Source organism: Homo sapiens, chromosome 3, assembly GCF_000001405.40.
Source record: "Homo sapiens chromosome 3, GRCh38.p14 Primary Assembly".
NCBI classification, from domain to species: domain Eukaryota; kingdom Metazoa; phylum Chordata; class Mammalia; order Primates; family Hominidae; genus Homo; species Homo sapiens.
This window is the reverse complement of record NC_000003.12, coordinates 170,169,755-170,187,693: the sequence shown is the minus strand read 5'-3', so window position 1 is coordinate 170,187,693 and position 17,939 is coordinate 170,169,755. Positions and strand designations below refer to the sequence as shown.

General features: G+C 41.8%; 1 protein-coding gene across 23 annotated transcripts in view, besides 2 other annotated features; it reads left to right on the top strand.

Moving 5' to 3' along the window:
* Positions 5,807-5,946: a silencer, noted in NCBI's record as "silent region_14881". NCBI's record gives its function as "represses an Ori minimal core promoter by ATAC-STARR-seq in GM12878 lymphoblastoid cells {active_cell/tissue: GM12878}" and the evidence as "EXISTENCE:reporter gene assay evidence [ECO:0000049][PMID:35858748]".
* Positions 5,961-17,939, top strand: part of PHC3 (polyhomeotic homolog 3) — a 94,150-nt gene continuing 82,171 nt past the window's right edge. For 12 of the 23 annotated variants that reach the window (NR_199370.1, NR_199371.1, NM_001438002.1 and 9 more), the window contains exons 1-4: positions 5,961-5,992; positions 8,756-8,921; positions 14,982-15,137; positions 16,244-16,321. Coding sequence is in view for 21 of the 23 variants with exons in the window: in NM_001438002.1 (NP_001424931.1) it covers positions 5,979-5,992; positions 8,756-8,921; positions 14,982-15,137; positions 16,244-16,321 (414 nt within the window). In the remaining 2 variants the exon portion in view is untranslated. Of the gene's footprint in view, positions 6,217-6,719; positions 6,739-8,755; positions 8,922-14,981; positions 15,138-16,243; positions 16,322-17,939 lie in introns of those variants that run through there. The other 11 variants (XM_047448988.1, XM_047448987.1, NM_001438001.1 and 8 more) reach the window with 4 other exon arrangements.
* Positions 6,417-6,496: a silencer, noted in NCBI's record as "silent region_14880". NCBI's record gives its function as "represses an Ori minimal core promoter by ATAC-STARR-seq in GM12878 lymphoblastoid cells {active_cell/tissue: GM12878}" and the evidence as "EXISTENCE:reporter gene assay evidence [ECO:0000049][PMID:35858748]".

Genomic DNA, 17,939 nt, shown 5'->3' with positions numbered 1-17,939 from the left:
TGGTGGCTCACGCCTGTAATCCCAGTACTTTGGGAGGCCAAGGTGGATGGATCACCTGAGGTCAGGAGTTCGAGACCAGACTGACTGACAAGGTGAAACCCCATCTCTACTAAAAATACAAAAATTAGCTGGGCATGGTGGCAGGCACCTGTAGTCCCAGCTTACTCGGGGGGCTGAGACAGGAGAATTGCTTGACCCCAGGAGGCAGAAGTTGCAGTAAGCTGAGATTGTGACACCACTCTAGCCTAAGCAACAGAGTGAGACTCTGTCTCAAAAAAAAAAAAACAAAAAACCACAAAAAACAGAAAAACCCCAAGAAACTTGAAGCAATTAAATTACTTGCTCAACGTGGCTCATTTGGTAAAGGAGTGAGCTCAGCGTTAAAATCTAAGTCTGTTGGACTTTTTGTCTCATCACATTAGATCCTATGAGAGCAATCGTGGTCCAACTGAGGCATCGACAGTATGTGTGCTCTATTAAGTACTCTGAAAGAACCCAGTGTAGGGTGGTCAATGATGTAGAATAGTCAGCAAACTTTTTCTGTAAAAGGCTGGATAGAGCCACATGCGGTGGCTTATGCCTGTAATCTTAGCACTTTGGGAGGCCAAGGTATGCAGATCACCTGAGGTCAGGAGTTTGAGTTCAAGACCAGCCTGGCCAACATGGTGAAGCCCCATCTCTACAAAAGATACAAAAGTTAGCCAGGTGTGGTGGCTCACACCTGTAGTCCCAGCTACTTGGGAAGCTGAGGCAGGAGAATCGCTTGAACCCAGCAGGCGGAGGTTGCGGTGAGCTGAGATCGTGCCACTGCACTCCAGCCTGGGCAACAGAGTGAGACTTGGTCTCAAAAAAAAAAAAAAAAAAAAAAGGCCTGGCACGGTGGTTCACGCCTGTAATCCCAGCACTTTGGGAGGCCGAGGCGGGTGGATCACAGTGTCGGGAGATCGAGACCATTCTGGCTAACACGGTGAAACCCCGTCTCTACTAAAAATACAGAAAAATTAGCCAGGCATGGTGGCAGGCATCTGTAGTCCCAGCTACTGGGGAGGCTGAGGCGGGAGAATGGTGTGAACCCTAGAGGCGGAGCATGCAGTGAGCCGAGATCGCGCCACTGCACTCCAGCCTGGGCGACGGAGCAAGACTCTGTCTCAAAAAAAAAAAAAAAAATGCTGGATAGTAAATATGTTACACTTTGCGGACAATCATGGTGTCTGTCACAGCTATTCAACTCTGCCCTTGTAGCATAAAAGCAGCCACAGATAATACATAAAGAAATTAGTGTGGCTGTGTTCTAATAATATTTTATTTATGGACACTGAAATACCTAAATTTCACATATCACAACATATGATTCTTTTGATTTTTTTTCAATTATTAGAAAATGTAAAAATCCATTCTTAGCTTGCAGGCCATACAAAAACAAGTTACAGTCTAGATTTAGTCTGTGGGCTGTTGTTTGGCAACCTCTGATCAAGAGACCAGACCAGTGCTGTCCAGTAGAACTATTTGTGATGATGGAAATGTTCTACATCTGTACTGTCCAATATGGTAGCCACTAGCCGTGTGTGCCTATTGAGCACCTGAAATGTGACTGTGCCACTAAGGAACTAAAAGTTCAATTTAGCCCTCCCTTTTCTTCCCCTAACCTTTATCATTTCTTTTTTTTTTTTTTCAGACGGAGTCTTGCTCTGTTGCCCAGGCTGGAGTGCAGTGGTGCGATCTCAGCTCACTGCAACCTCTGCCTCCCGGGTTCACGCCATTCTCCTGCCTCAGCCTCCCGAGTAGCTGGGACTACAGGCGCCCGCCACCACGCCCGGCTAATTTTTTGTATTTTTAGTAGAGACGGGGTTTCACCATGTTAGCCAGGATGGTCTCAATCTCCTGACCTCATGATCCGCCTGCCTCGGCCTCCCAAAGTGCTGGGATTACAGGCGTGAGCCACCGCGCCTGGCCCACCCTTATCATTTCTATAAGGATTAATGCACAGTTTCCCAACTGATCCTCTCCCCAGTTACACTTTCCCCCAGTCCATCCTTCACAAAGCTAGAGGGATTTTTCTAAAATAAAACAGGATCTTTGTACTTTTCCAAGGTCATGGTTCTTGCAAAACTTGAGAAAATCCATCCTGCTAGCATACCATATACATTTTTTTCCCCTAGGAAATGATAGAGGTAAAATACCTTCTGTTTGATCAGACAATTGACCGTAAGTTTCTTTTTTTTTTTGAGACGGAGTTTTGCTCGGTCACCCAGGCTAGAGTGCAATGGCGCGATCTCGGCTCACTGCAACCTCTGCCTCCCAGGTTCAAGTGATTCTCCTGCCTCAGCCTCCTGAGTAGCTGGGATTACAGGCACCCACCATTGTGCCCGGCTAATTTTTGTATTTTTGTAGAGACGGGGTTTCACCATGTTGGCCAGGCCGGTCTTAAAACTCCTGACCTCAGGTGATCCACCTGCCTCTGCCTCCCAAAGTGTTGGGATGACAGGCGTGAGTCACCGTGCCTGGCCGGTAAGTTTCTTGAGAGTGGTCTTTCATCATACCTTGTCCCCTTTAATGTTTTGCATAGTGGCTTGCTGAATGATGTAGTGAAGAAAACTTGGCTTTGGAGATGGCAACCTTAAATTAGAACTCCATTTCTTGTACATGCTAGCAGTCACCCGAGGCACTTAATTACCTTGAAGCTCACTATACTTCCGTGCTAAATGGGAATCATGATAACTGTATCACAGAGTTATTGTGAAGATCAACAAATGAGTTTTATGGAAATCCTTTGCACTTTATAAAAGGTGATACAAGTGTTAGCTGTTATAATAAGTATTGAGCATTGAAATGTTTCTAAAAAACAATACTATTCTGATTTTACCCAACATATATTCCCCCCTGGCTTTTTTTTTTTAGATGGAGTCTCGCTCTGTTGCCCAGGCTGGAGTGCAATGGCGTGATCTCAGCTCACTGCAACCTCTGCCTCCTGGGTTCGAGTGATTATCCTGCCTCAGCCTCCCCGAGTAGCTGGGATTACAGGCGCCTGCCACCATGCCCAGCTAATTTTTGTAGTTTTAGTAGAGACCGGGTTTTACCATGCTGGCCAGGCTGGTCTCGAACTCCTGACCTCAGGCGATCCGCCCATCTTGGCCTCCCAAAGTGCTGGGATTACAGGCATGAGCCACCGTGACCGGACATATATTCTCATTTTTAAAGGCAATCTGTACGAGGTAACACTAGGGATATAGGACCTAGATGTTCAAGTGAAAGGAGGATAAAAAAAGAACAATTTTGGCCTATGTATTCCAAATACATCTTTGATTTATGCATTTTCCATGTTTAGGCCTAAGACTGTGCTTTCTTCACTTTTGTTTCTCTAAACAAAATAGTTTCAGCAATACCAATGTATAGTTGATTCTTGAAAGTTTTGTGTTTTTTTTTTTTTTTTTTAGACGGAGTCTCGCTTTATTGGCAGGCTGGAGGGCAGTGGCACCATCCCCGCTCACCACAACCTCCATCTCCTGGGTTCAAGCAATCATCGTGCCTCAGCCTCCGGAGTAGCTGGGATTACAGGCACACGCCACTACCGCCCGGCTAATTTTTGTATTTTTTGTAGAGATGGGGTTTCACCATATTGGCCAGGCTGGTCTTGAACTCCTGACGTTTGGTGATCCACCCGCCTTGGCCTCCCAAAGTGCTGGGATTACAGGCATGAGCCACCGCGCCCGGCCGATTCTTGGAAGTTTAATAAAAGGCCGGGTGCAATGGCTCACGCCTGTAATCCTAGCACTTTGAGAGGCTGAGGCCAGTGGATCACCTGATGTCAGGAGTGCAAGACCAGCCTGGCCAACATGGTGAAACCCCGTCTCTACCAAAAATATAGAAAAAGTTTGCTGGGTGTGGTGGCACGTGCCCGTAATCCCAGCTACTCGGAAGGCCGAGGCAGGAGAATCGCTTGAATCCGGGAGGCGGAGGTTGTGGTGAGCCGAGATCTCATCATTGCACTCCAACCCGGGCGACAGAGTAATACTCCGTCTCAATTTAAAAAAAAAAAGTTTAATAACAATGATATATGAGCAAGTCAGAATGAAAGAAAAAGCAGTAATATTTTAAAGCATCTACAAGGACTTTTTATTTTCTTTTGAGATGGAGTCTCAGTCTCTTTCCCAGGCTGTAATGAAGTGGCACTGTCTCCCTGCAACCTCCATCTCCCAGGTTCAGGCGATTCTCCTGCCTCAGCCTCTGGAGTAGCTGGGATTATAGGCAGGTGCCACTACACCCGGCTAATTCTTGTATTTTTAGTAGAGACAGGGTTTCACCATGTTGGCCAGGCTGGTCTTGAACTCCTGACCTCAGGTTATCCGCCTTCCTCGGCCCCCCAAATTGCTGGTATAACAGGAGTGAGCCTCTGTGCCTGGTCTACAGGGACTTTTAAAAGGAGACTTTCTCAATGAATTCTAGAAGTAGTAGTAGATAGTACTGCTATTAGGTAGACAAGGTAAAAAAAAAAGATGTTATCAGATGGGAAAAGTGGGCAAAGGGACAATTTAAGCTCACATAGATGGGAAGTGTTCTTTTCCCTTCCTTAGGCACATCCTGGCATATAGGATTTCTAAGACTAAGTATACTTTTCATCAGACCATATTACACTTCCGGATGGATTTATATCAATACTTCATTCTCAGTTCTTGAAATTATTGTGACTCCATCACCTCACAAAATGCAAAAAGAGACATTGTTTATGGTTCGTATGCTTTTTTTTTCCTGTAAAGGGAGGTAAAGATTTATTATACACCTTGAACTTTAAACTTTCCAAAGCACTTAATAGATCTGTTTCAGAACACTTTTTCCTCAGCCTCCTGAGTAGCTGGGATGACAGGTGCGCGCCACGACATCCGGATAATTTTTGTATTTTTTGTAGAGATGGGATTTCCCCATGTTGCCCAGGGTGGTCTCAAACTCCCGGGCTCAAGCAATCCTCCCAACTTCACTTCCCAAAGTGCTGGTATTATGAGGGTGAGCCATCGTCCCGGTCTTCAGAACACATTATATTGTATGCAAATGTCTATAAAACCCGCTCCGCTACTTCTTGGAAGACAAGGACTCATCTTTATTATTTCATATTTATATTTAAATGTGTTATTTTACTTATCTTTATATGTTTGTCTCACACACCTGAGTTGTTGGCATTTAGCAGACTACACTAGCAAACTGGTGGCTGTTCCTGCTTGTTCCTTGTGGTGTTCAAGTTTGCAATTCCTACTAAGCGCTCAGCAAATTCATACTGAAGACATGAATGATATGCCTAGGGTAGTCAGGATGATTCCTTAACCACTCATTCACTGGCATCTGAACACTATCTTTCAGCTGGAGAGAGGTACTGCTGGTTGGGACCCTCAAGCCCCAAAGCTCCCAGGCAACAAGCCCTGCAGCCAGCCCTGAATTTCCTTTCTCCCTGAGACCTCAGCCTCTAATCCTCGTGGGTATTTTCTTTGAAACCACTCTGCAGTTTGCATAGGCTTTGGTATATTTTAGATATTCTTCAAAATTATTATTATTATTATTATTATTGTTGGGCTTTTTTTTGGTAGAGTCAGGGTCTCACTTTATTGTCAAGGCTGGTCCTGAACTCCTCGCTTCAAGAGATCCTCCTCAACCTCCCAGAGTGCTGGGATTACAGGTGAGCCACCGCGCCCATATTCTTTAAATTTTAAATTTAACAATCTAAGATAACTTTTTATATCTTTATTACAGATATCTCCCCAAGAGGAAGATCCTGGAGGAGAGAAAGAGAGGGGTTTGGAGAGGAGACACTGGTTATCTTAGTGGGGGAAATCTGGTCACTTTCCAGAAAGAGCAATTCCTATGGTGGGCGGGGGCGATTGGAAGCTGAGGACGCCACGTGACCTCTGGCTCCGGGGGCTGAGCCGACCCCGCCTCTCCGCCCGCCGCCGGGGGGCGCATGCGCAGCCCATGTTAGTGATGGAGGAGAGAAGATGGCGGAAGCGGAGTGAGTGACTAGATGGTGACTGATGTCGTAACTAGGGGGGGCGAGTTGGGGCAGCGACACGTTCCCCCAGGGGAAAGCTCAGGGCTCTTTTGCGGGCAGTGTGGGGAAAGAGAGACTCGAGACCCGTCCTATCGTGGAGGAGCCGGCTAGGCCCGTGTCGCGGGGCGAAGACGAACTCTAGGGTCCAGTTACCCTCCAGGCAGGAGCGCCCCTTCCGCCATCAGGTCCCGGATCTGCGCGGCCCTGCGCGCAGGGTCACCCTTGGGACTCCGGGAGCTGGGGTTTTCCGGGGAACGAGCCCGGGTGGGCTCCTCAGGCGCTGTCATTCCTGCAAGTGGGCCCCGCGGGCAGCCTTGTTACGGCTGCCTGCGCAGGGGCCCGCGGAGGCTGGGTAGGGCAGGGCGGGCACTGCCAGGCCTCCTTCGCCTTCTTCTCCTTCCCGCCCCGGCGCCACCCCACTCCTCCTCAGCGGGAGAATCCGACACGCGGGGCTGCCCGCTTCCCTCGTGCCGGAGGCATCCCGGCGTGGGCCTGAGAGCGGCGGGGGCTGCTTGCAGGTCTGGTGAGGCTGAAAACACCCTGAAAGAAAGGTCTTTCCCTCGATTCTCTGGGTGCAGCGTTGCTGCCTCACACGCGGGCCACATTCTTGTGTGTCGGTGTGACGGTATGTTTAGTTAACGACTCCAGAACTTACTGTTTCCTGGGTAGGCCTCTTGTGCACCAGAACTGCTGGCTGTATTTTGCAGGTATTAGTATGCCTAGACGGTGGAGTTACCAAAGTTGTTCTTTTGTGCCAGGCCTCGAAATGCAGTGCGATGGTTTGGCCAGTTCCGCTCAACCGATGTTTAGACTTATGCCGAGAATTTGGATTCTCTGTGACCATTTTTGGTTAGGAGTTAGAACTGTTTACCATACTGTTTGGATTGGAGGGCATAGTTGAGCAGATTAACACTTTTAAAAAACCAGAACTTAAGCTGGCCTTTTGCATGTCACTGGTACACGATACGGTAGTAGTATGACAGGCAGCAGTTCGGTAAAAAGTTTACCTTACCTACCACTAATACTGTATAATGTTGAACAGTTACCATATGATGCTGTGATTTGATTGGAAGGCAGTTTGGAAAAAAAAAAAAAAAACAGAAGCATAAAAATGTATGAATTATTTACTAATCCAAAAAGTAAGTGAGGAGTCAGCTTTCTTCCTGACGGTTTTCCTTTCACTTTTCCTCTTATTTTCTTTTTCTTTCTTTGTGACAGCGTCTCTCACTCTTATCTCCCAGGCTGGAGTGCAGTGGCACGATCATAGCTCACTGCAGCCTGGCCCTCTTGGGCTCAAGCGATTTCCCCACCTTAGCCTCTCAAGTTGCTGGGACCACAGTCCTGTGCCACCAGGCCTGGCTAATTTTTTATTTTTCATTTGTAGAGACAGGGTTTCCCTATGTTGCCCAGGCTGGCTTTGAACGCCTAAGCTCAAGCAGTCCTCCCCCTGAGTGGTAGGATGACAGGTGTGAACCGCCACTCAAGGCCCCCACTTTTCCTTTTTTTTTTTTTTTGTTCGGTTTTTTTTTACATTTGGTTCCTCAGAGAATATAAATACTGTTTACATACGTAATATAGAACAAAGAAAATTTGTACTTAAAAAAGCAACGCTATGGTAATAGTGTATGTGTACCAATTAGTGCCAGATTCATTTGTTTTTTCATGGAATAGAAAGTGTTCTTACATTTTTATCAGTGCTGCTAATGTGGGGTGGGTGGGATTTAGTTTCTCAGAAGAAAAGACCGATAAGAAAAGGGAGATAAAACCAGTATAATCTCTTGTGTGCTTTTCACCTTCGAGGTACATTTCTGGCCCGACAAAAACTACTGCTCTTCTGGTTTCTAACAATATGGAGGTCCTTAGAATTGACTTAAAGTGTTTGAATTTATTCAAATACAGATTCTGTATTTAGTGGAATTTTGTACCACAACAAGTAAGATTATAGTATTGGAGGGAAGAAAGTCTGGTATAAAAGTGTACTTTACTGTCCATACATGAGGAAGTGACATAATTTATGTTTTCAAAATCTGGAGTAATTCTTTGTGAAAAAGATTTTGTAAGGGTATGGGAAGTTGCTGTTTGCTGCTTCTCTGTGTTCTCACAGCAATCTGCTAATAAGTATAACTCAGCTATTAGAAGTAGTAAGGACAGCGTTGTAGACTGATTAGGGGAAAAGCCAGTGTGAGTTAAAAAAATTACTTTTTAACATTTTTTAAAAAGAACTTATTTTTAAGCAAAGTTTATATGGTAAACTAAACTAAGCTAGTTAACATGAGTCCCTAGGCATTCTGTTCTAATGTATAGGTAAGAATGACTTTAGTTTGTAATTAGTGTGGTCAAAAGAATGTAAAGAAATGTTTTAAAATACTCTGATACTGCTTAAATTTTTATTTTCCTAGGTAGTTTAGTATTCTCTCATTACCTGTTTTGGTTTAAAAAAAATCTTTCGGTAATGCAAAGATAAACTTTTGGCTATGCGTTATCTGAGTTACGTATTCTGAATCATTTGAATTCAAATGTAGTAGGTATTAACTATTAAATATGCTCCATATATGTGAAGTATTTTTCCCTTCTAAGTGCTTATAGTGACTGTGTGTTGGCTGTCTTTTATGAGAGCCTTCCTAGCAGTTTAGATTACTGCTGATTATTTCTTTGGAATGAATATTCTTTAAAGCTCATAAGATAATGCTTTTACCAATACAAACACTTTGTGTGACCTGCCAGATTTAAGGACCATAGTACAGCTATGGATACTGAACCAAACCCGGGAACATCTTCTGTGTCAACAACAACCAGCAGTACCACCACCACCACCATCACCACTTCCTCCTCTCGAATGCAGCAGCCACAGATCTCTGTCTACAGTGGTTCAGACCGACATGCTGTACAGGTATTTCAGCTGTAGTGATGGGTAGTCTAAGACTTAAGATGTCATATTACTTTTTGCTTAAGCTGGATTTATGTATTGTTTCATATTCTCAAATGTACAGTTAGAATTACTAATGTTTCAATCAACTGTCTCAATCCATTTTGTGTGGCTATAGCAGAATACCAAGACTGTGTAATTGTAAAGAAAAGAAACTTATTTCTTACATTTCTGGAAGCTGGGAAGTCTAATATGAAGGAGCTGGCATCTCACGAGGGCCGTCTTATTGCCTCATTCCGTGGTGGAAGACTAGAGAGCAAGATACCAAATTTGCAGCCTCAAGCCCTTTTAAAATTTCCTTTAGTCGGCCGGGCGCGGTGGCTCACGCCTGTAATCCCAGCACTTTGGGAGGCCGAGGCGGGCGGATCACGAGGTCAGGAGATCGAGACCACGGTGAAACCCCGTCTCTACTAAAAATACAAAAAATTAGCCGGGCGCAGTGGCGGGCGCCTGTAGTCCCAGCTACTCGGGAGGCTGAGGCAGGAGAATGGCGTGAACCCGGAAGGCGGAGCTTGCAGTGAGCGGAGATCGCGCCACAGCACTCCCGCCTGAGCGACAGAACGAGACTCCGTCTCAAAAAAAAAAAAAAAAAAAAATTTTCCTTTAGTCTATTCATGTGGGCGGAGTCCTTATGGCCTAATCACCCTTCAGGGGTCCTACCTCTTAACACTGTTGCATTGGAGATTAAGTTTCCAACACATACTTAATTGGGGGACACATTTAACCACAGCAACAGCCAACAAAGTTAATTAATAATCATACTATTGGCTAGGCGTGGTGGCTCACGCCTGTAATCCCAACACTGTGGGAGACCAAGGCAGGGAGATAGCTTGAGCTTAGGAGTTGGAGACTGGCTGGGACAACATGTTGAAACCCCATCTCTACAAAAAATACAAAAATCAGCAGGGCATGGTGGCATGTGCCAGTGGTCCCAGCTACTCAGGAGGCTGAGGTGGGAGGATTGCTTGAGCCCAGGAGGTCAAGGCTGCAATGAGCTGTGATCGCACCACTGTACTCCAGTCTAGGTGACAGAGTGAGACCCTGTCTCAAAAAAAAAAAAAAAAAAAAAATGCTGGGCGTGGTGGCTCACACTTCTAATCCCAGCGCTTTGGGAGACCAAGGCTGGCGGATCACTTGAGGTCAGGTGTTTGAGACCAGCCTGATCAACATGGTGAAACCCCGTCTCTACTAAGAATACAAAAATTAGCCAGGCATGGTAATGCATACCTGTAATCCCAGCTACTTGGGAGGCTGAGGCAGGAGTATCACTTGAACCCTGGCGGCAGAGGTTGCAGTGAGCCAAGATAGCGCCACTGCACTCCAGCCTGGGCAAAAAGAGTGAGACTCCATCTCAAAATATATATATATAGTATTGAGAGGGCTTACATTTGTCAGCATGTAGTTTATAGGATTATGTGTAAAGAAAATTATAAGGGGAAAGTCTCTAGGTGCTGCTACAGTATGAAGGCATTCAACCTAGAGCCCCAACATACAGAATGGTTGTAGCTTTATTTTATATTGGAACTCAAAATATAGACTTAGGGAGATCTGTTCAGGTATGTAGATATGTTACGAAGTTTATATTAAACCCAGGTGGCCTAAGAACCCTAAGCAGGAGGATCCATTCTAAATACCTTAGGGGCAGAGGGGGAAGGGAATATTGAACTAGGAAGTCACTTAGTTGAGAAAGTAAAGTTTACTTAGTTAACATTTATGATAATGGAGGTTGGGGCAATATGGTATTATATAAAAAGGGCATGGACCTTCCACTCTATTATACTTTGTTTGAATTCCATTTTCATTATCTTTAGGAGCTATATAGCCTTGGGTATGAGACATAATCCCCTTGAGCCTCAGAAAACTAAAATGAGGGTGAGACTACTTCTTTCATTAATTACTCTGAGGATTAAATGAAGTATCTTTGAGATTAATGAAGTATCTAGAACTGTGTAAGGCACATTATAGGTTTCCAGTAGATAGTAATAGCTAATACTTATTGAATAATTGCTACGTGCCAAACATTTGATAAATGTTACATGAATTATCTCCATTAATCATTACCAGCCCTCTGTGAAGTAGCTATTATTATTATCTCCATTTTACTGATGGGAAAATAAATGTTTTAAATCAGCTAAATAACTTTCCCAAACTCACCTAGCTAGTTCTCAGACTTCAGCCCTTGTGCCCTTAACCACTCTGTGAATTCTTATTTTTTCTATTATACCTGCTTTCTTCTGGTAGAATCCTTATAATTGCATCCACCCTGAAAACAACTGCTTGCAATATAGTCCTTCCTCTGCTCCATTTTTCCATGGTGGATACCCCAGTATAATGTCTATTTAACTGTTTTTGGTTTAGGATTTAGTTTTCCAAAATCACTGTGGAGTGGAACCAGCCAGTTCACCAGAAATTCAAACTTGAATGCAGAGTGAGGTTTTAATGTTTTTTACCTTTCTCTGAGGTAAGGGATACAGGGAAAAGGATTTAGATCTTTTTTTTTTTTTTTTTTTTGAGACCGAGTCTCGCTCTATCGCCCAGGCTGGAGTGCGGTGGCGTGATCTAGGCTCACTGCAACCTCTGCCTCCCAGGTTCAAGCGATTCTCCTGCTTCAGCCTCCAGAACAGCTGGGACTACAGGCATGTGCCAGCAGATCCAGCTAATTTTTGTATTTTTAGTAAAGATGGGGTTTCACCATATTGGTCAGGCCGGTCTCAAACTCCTGACCTTGTGATCCACCTGCCTTGGCCTCCCAAAGTGCTAGGATCACAGGCATGAGCTACCGTGCCCGGCCGGGTTTTGTTTTTTTTTTTTTTGAGACTGAGTCTTGCCCTGTAGCCCACGCTGGAGTGCAGTGGCGCGATCTTGGCTCACTGCAACCTCTGCCTCCCTGGTCCAAGCGATTCTCCTGCCTCAGCCTCCTGAGTAGCTGGGACTACAGGCACGTGCCACCACACCCAGCTAATTTTTTGTATTTTTAGTAGAGATGGGGCTTCACCATGTTAGCCAGGATGGTCTCAATCTCTTGAGCTGGTAATCCGCCCGCCTCGGCCTCCCAAAGTGCTGGGATTATAGGCGTGAGCCACTGCGCCTGGCCCCCCCCTTTTTTTTTTTTTCTTCTCTCCCTCTGTGTTGCCTAGGCTGGAGTCCAGTGGCATGATCACAACTCACGACCCCCTGGGCTCAAGTGCTCCTCCTGCTTCAGCCTCCTGAGTAGTTGAGACTACAGGCACATGTGACTATGCTTGGCTAATTTTTTTATTTTGTAGAGACAGGATCTCACTATGTCGCCCAGGCTAGTCTTGACCTTCTGGCTTTAAGCTCTCCTCCTGCCTTAGCCTCCCAAAGTGCTGGGATGAGCCACCACGCCTGACTGATAATGTGATCGCTTAATATACCATTTTGTCCTCTAGTTTTCAATTAAGCTGCATAGATTAATAAAAAATTAATAGAAAGATATGTAGATGTAGATATATCTCATAAATAGCACTGACTCTGTTTCTTATGAGACCATAGAATTGCTTCTCCCAAAATGAAATCAAATCAATATTTATTGAACTACCTAAGTAATTCTTTAATCTTCCAGCTTGCTTTTTCTGTCCTGGGAATTCTCTTCACCCTCCTTGGGTGAATAAGAATTTATAATAAATAAGAACAATTTGCTGTATCTATAACTTGTATTTACTCATTGCTGTGAGTAATTGAATAGTAGTGAAAGACTGTGCTGACAACAGAAAAAATGAGTATACTCTGACAAAAGTATGTGTCAAATAGATTGTTATTTCAGTTTGATTTTAGAATTTTTTTCCGTATACAGTCCAGTGCTTTTAGAATTTTGTTATGGAATTAGAAGAACAAATAGAGATTGATCTGACTAAAAAAGGTATATTGTTATAATTCTGAATCACTTAATGCTGGCCTATAGTCCCCTGCAGGTAGAGGTCAAAAGCTCCCATTGATTTTGTGACAGAAATTTGTATCAGGCATAGTAGTCTATAGTTGGAGAGGTGAGATATTAACACATGAAAATAAACAATAACACACAGAAATATGCTGTCTTGAAGTTTAGATAAAAGGATTCATGGCATTATGGCTCAAGATGTCCTGAGAGACCCTCAAGCTATAGGATTATGGCACTATTACTCCCTTAGCTCTTTGAAAACTCTGGTTTGATGCTGCGATTAGGGTTCTGTGCTGTTTCAGAGTCACAGTGAGCACAATGTGACTTTCGGATTTGGTTGTATAGGATTGACTTATTCTGACTTAACCTTTTGGAGAAATGTAAGAATTTTCTCTGATTTTAGTAGAGTACTTGACTTTTCTATATTTATTTATGAAGTTTCAGGCTCAGATTTTACATTTTACTAACAAATATTCACAGTAATTAACACTTTTTAAGGAATTAAGTAAGAATAGTTTTATTCAATGTTGAAGCAAAACAAGGTATTTGACATTTAAAAATTTTTTAAATTATTGAGTAATTTTCTAAAGAAGAAATAGCTTTATAATTTTATTTTTTATTTTTATTTTATTATTATTATTTTTTTGAGATGGGGTCTTGCTCTGTCGTCTAGGCTGGAGTGCAGTGGCATGATCTCTGGTCACTGCAGCCTCCACCTCCTGGGTTCAAGCAGTTCTCCCACCTGAGCCTCCTGAGTATCTGGGATTACAGGTGCATGCCACCATGCCTGGCCAAGTTTTGTATTTTTAGTAGAGACAGGGTTTCACTATGTTGGCCAGGCTAGTCTTGAACTCCTGACCTCAGGTGACCTGCCTGCCTTGGCCTCCCAAAGTGGTGGGATCACAGGCATGAGCCAACCTGCCCAGCTGCTTTGTAATTTTATATGATTATTAATAATACCTGCTCATTGTAAGATTTTCAGACATCTATAGAAGAGTATGAAGTAGAAGCTAAAAATCACCTCTAATCTAGCTACCCATCAGTGGTCTTTGAAAGTTTTCCTGTGGATTCTTTCAAATATTTTAATATAAAAATGGTATCTTACTCTATATACTATTTTGTAACCCACTGATTTTCTTTTTGTTAGTAAATATAGATCGGTATCAGCAATGTACACTATAGTGGCCAGTAGTTACTTGTGGCTGTTTACATTAAAATTAAAATTAATTAAAATTCAATTTAAAATTAACTCAATTCTTTAGTTGCACTAACCACATTTTAAGTGCTCAGTAGGCACATGTGACTAGTTGTTACTGTATAGGACAGCACTGATCTACATTACTATTTGTTATGGTTGCATGGTAAAGGTATTTCTCTCCACACCCAAGCCCTGAATTCTACGAAGTTTTATCCAAAAAGGTTATGCCAACTTGAATTTTTACTAGCAATATGGGAGTATTGGTTTCCCCAGGTAGTAGTAGTATTCTTTTAAATCTTTATCCATCTGAAAGTTGGAAAACAGTATCTTGTTTTAATTTGTAAGTTTTTGACTACTGGTGAGATTGAAAATCTTTTGAAATGCTTAGTTGGCCTGGCCTGTCTTTTGCGAATTGTCCACTGGGTTTTGTTTTGTTTTTTTTTTTTTGAGATGGGAGTCTTGCTGTGTCGCCCAGGCTGGAGTGCAGTGGCATGATCTTGGCTCAACTGCAGCCTTCACCTCACAGGTTCAAGCGATTCTCCTGCCTCAGCCTCCCGAGTAGCTGGGGCTACAGGCATGTGCCACCATGCCTGGCTAATTTTTTGTGTTTTTAGTAGAGACGGGGTTTCACCATGTTAGCCAGGATGGTCTTGATCTCCTGACCTTGTGATCCGCCCACCTCGGCCTCCCAAAGTGCTGGAATTAACAGGCGTGAGCCACCGTGCCCGGCCCACTGGGTAGTTTTAATGTGTACAAGTTAGTGATTTCTAGTGATATGTAACTAGGAAAGAAATAATGTTAATAAGCTTGATGATATTATGTATTAAAGCAGTGAAATTTTAAACTGCCACTTTTTTATACTTTGATTTTCTGATTAAGATAAAGGTTGAGATTATGGTTTGACATTGGTTCAATTGACTTATCACAGGTAATTCAACAGGCATTGCATCGGCCCCCCAGCTCAGCTGCTCAGTACCTTCAGCAAATGTATGCAGCCCAACAACAGCACTTGATGCTGCATACTGCAGCTCTTCAGCAGCAGCATTTAAGCAGCTCCCAGCTTCAGAGCCTTGCTGCTGTTCAGGTAAGACTAAAATAAGAGTTTATGAGATCAAAGTTTCTGTTATCTGTAGGTAGTTACTGAAAATAAATAGATTGGGTATTATTTCAGAGTTCTCAGATGTCCTGTGGTTATTTTTCCCGGAGGAAATATATTAATAGGTTGCCGAATAGAAGTTAATTGAGAAAAAGGGGATATGTTTTTTTATGTTACTCTGTTTCTAGCTTTTGTCTCAGTGCTTTTTATCCAGATTGAAGAAATGCTATGCTAGTTTATGTGTATAAAGTTCTAGGTACAACAGTGAGTACTTAGGCTTACATAAATTGTATTTTTACTAAAAATAAGATTAAAAAAATTATATAAGTAATTATACTCATTAAAAAATCAAACAATATTAAGTTGTTTATAAGAGATAAAGTAAAGCTGTTCCTTTTCCCTGTCTATCACTGTTTCCCGTTCTTCAAAGGTGGCCACAGTAACAATCTAATACATATTTCTCCAGAAATTTTTTATACAAAGATAGGTATATCCATTTTTCTAAAATCCAATCATATTATTCCTACTGATAACAGGATTTCATTATTAAATGCTTGTTTTTAAAAAAGATTTTTGTTACTATTGTACTATTTAAATAAAGCTGTGTAAGATTTAATCTTAAATCCCCTCACCAGAGGAGGATCTCAATTGACTGAACCTGAAAAAGGTTTATTTCTGTTACCAACAGATTCTCAGCTGTTGCTTCTTAGTAGTGTAATTTTTAAATAACATGTTTGTGATACAAGTTAGGAAACTGAAACCCACTCACTGGCTCTTGCTGTAGCTCTAATTTCTTTTTCATAACTCTGGAGTAGTGATTCCACTTTAAAGATGACAGAGACCCATAAAGTGAAACTGACAATAAAGTAGCTAATAAAATAAGATTAGTCTTTGGATCCCCTGTTTTCACCATTCAGCTTTTCCTTATTTAAAAAATCTGTTTAACCGAAGCTTAAGCCATGTTGACTATAAAATTAGTTGTTTCATACATAGGCCTTTTGACATTTATTGTTGTGGTTTTGTGTTATCATGGTACCAGAAAGTTCTTAACTTCAGGTTTTTACCGACATATTCTAAAAGTCTTACTATTTTAGGCAAGTTTGTCCAGTGGAAGACCATCTACATCTCCCACAGGAAGTGTCACACAGCAGTCAAGTATGTCCCAAACGTCTGTAAGTTCCCTAAATTTTTTTTTCCTGGATTTAAAATTTTAAAGAATTGTTTTCCAAAAGTAAACTGTTGTTATTTATGAAGCTGTTATTATAATTTGTTGCATGCTGTTTAAAGTAACAATTGCCCAGAAATAGAAATGATAAAATTCAAGAATTCAGAACTAATGTTAAACTTATGAAAATCTGAGTCTTAAAAAAATCTTTTTGTATTATTTCTTGTATATCCATTTGCACTGATCATGTTCAGATCTTATGTGGTTTCAGCTTTCTGTGTGTATTGAAAGCCTAAAATATACAATGCAGGGATATTGGCCATGAATTTACTGTGATATACAATAGTATGTCATGTCCTTGGTAGACATCTAAGCATTTCTAACTTTGTGCAATTCACATTTTAGAAATTATACTTTCAGCTTACATGAGTTATTTGGGTTCAATTTGCAAGTATCCATTCAAGATAGGGTAATTTATTTTGAGAAAGGAGTAAAAGAAAGCTGATTCGCTATATTGCACATATATATTGGGAAATTGTGCCAAGTTTCCCAGGTAAAATAAATTTATGGGCATGGTAATACTTGTTTAGCTTTTAATTTTGGTATAATTTTAAACTGCAATAATAATAAAAAAATTTCTGTATCTACTCTACTCAGATTAATCAATTATTGCATATTGCCCCATTACTTTATCATTCATTCTTTTCCACTACATGTATACATATTTTTTTCTGAGTCATTTGTAAGTTGAGATATGTTCCTTTATTCCTAAATACTTTGATGTGTATTTCCTAAGAACAAGGCTATTGTTTTTTGAAGCCACAGAAAAATTACTAAATTCAGGAAATATAACATTGATACAGTGCAGTTCATTTTCACATTTCATCATTTGTCTCAGGTTTCCCAACCTCATCACTATGGACATTATGAGCCAGATAATTCTTTGTTGTCAGGGGCTATCGTGTAATTTATAGGATGTTTAGCAGCATCCCTGGCTACTAGATGCCGGCAGCTTGTGGTCTTTCTCCTTCCTCTAGTGTGACAACTATAGGTGTTTCCTGGTGGGGGGCAAACTGCCTGTAGTTGAGAACCTAATAATGTCCTTTCTAGATATTTTTTCCTGGTCCAGAATGGTAATACTTTGATACTTCATAAAATTGGCTCCAATACAATATAGTTTGTAGGTTGTTAAGGAATTGAAGGTTAAGGAATTGTGCTCTATTTCTTCAGCTAAGGGTATGGTCTTTGCTAACTACATGCTGTGGTCAGCATATAGCTGTGGTTTTTTTTGTTGTTTGGTTTTTTTTTCTGGCTGTTGATCTGACTTTTTTTTTTTGGCGTGGGAATGTCCTGGAGTGTGAACAAGATTAGTTTAAAAAGTTCCCTATGACTTGAAGATGTTAGATTAAATGAAAAACTTAAATAATGTAACCTAGCTCTTAAGCATTAATACTGGAGTTTTTGTCATTGACATCAGATGTCTTTAATACAATGGTAATTAAGGAAAGGAGTGGTAAATATTTTGTGGGCTACTGAAGGAAATTATATAGACAAATTCTTTATTCTGTGAAATACTGGAATAACAATAGGATGTATTTGTATAGATATGTTATTTTGAATTTTTT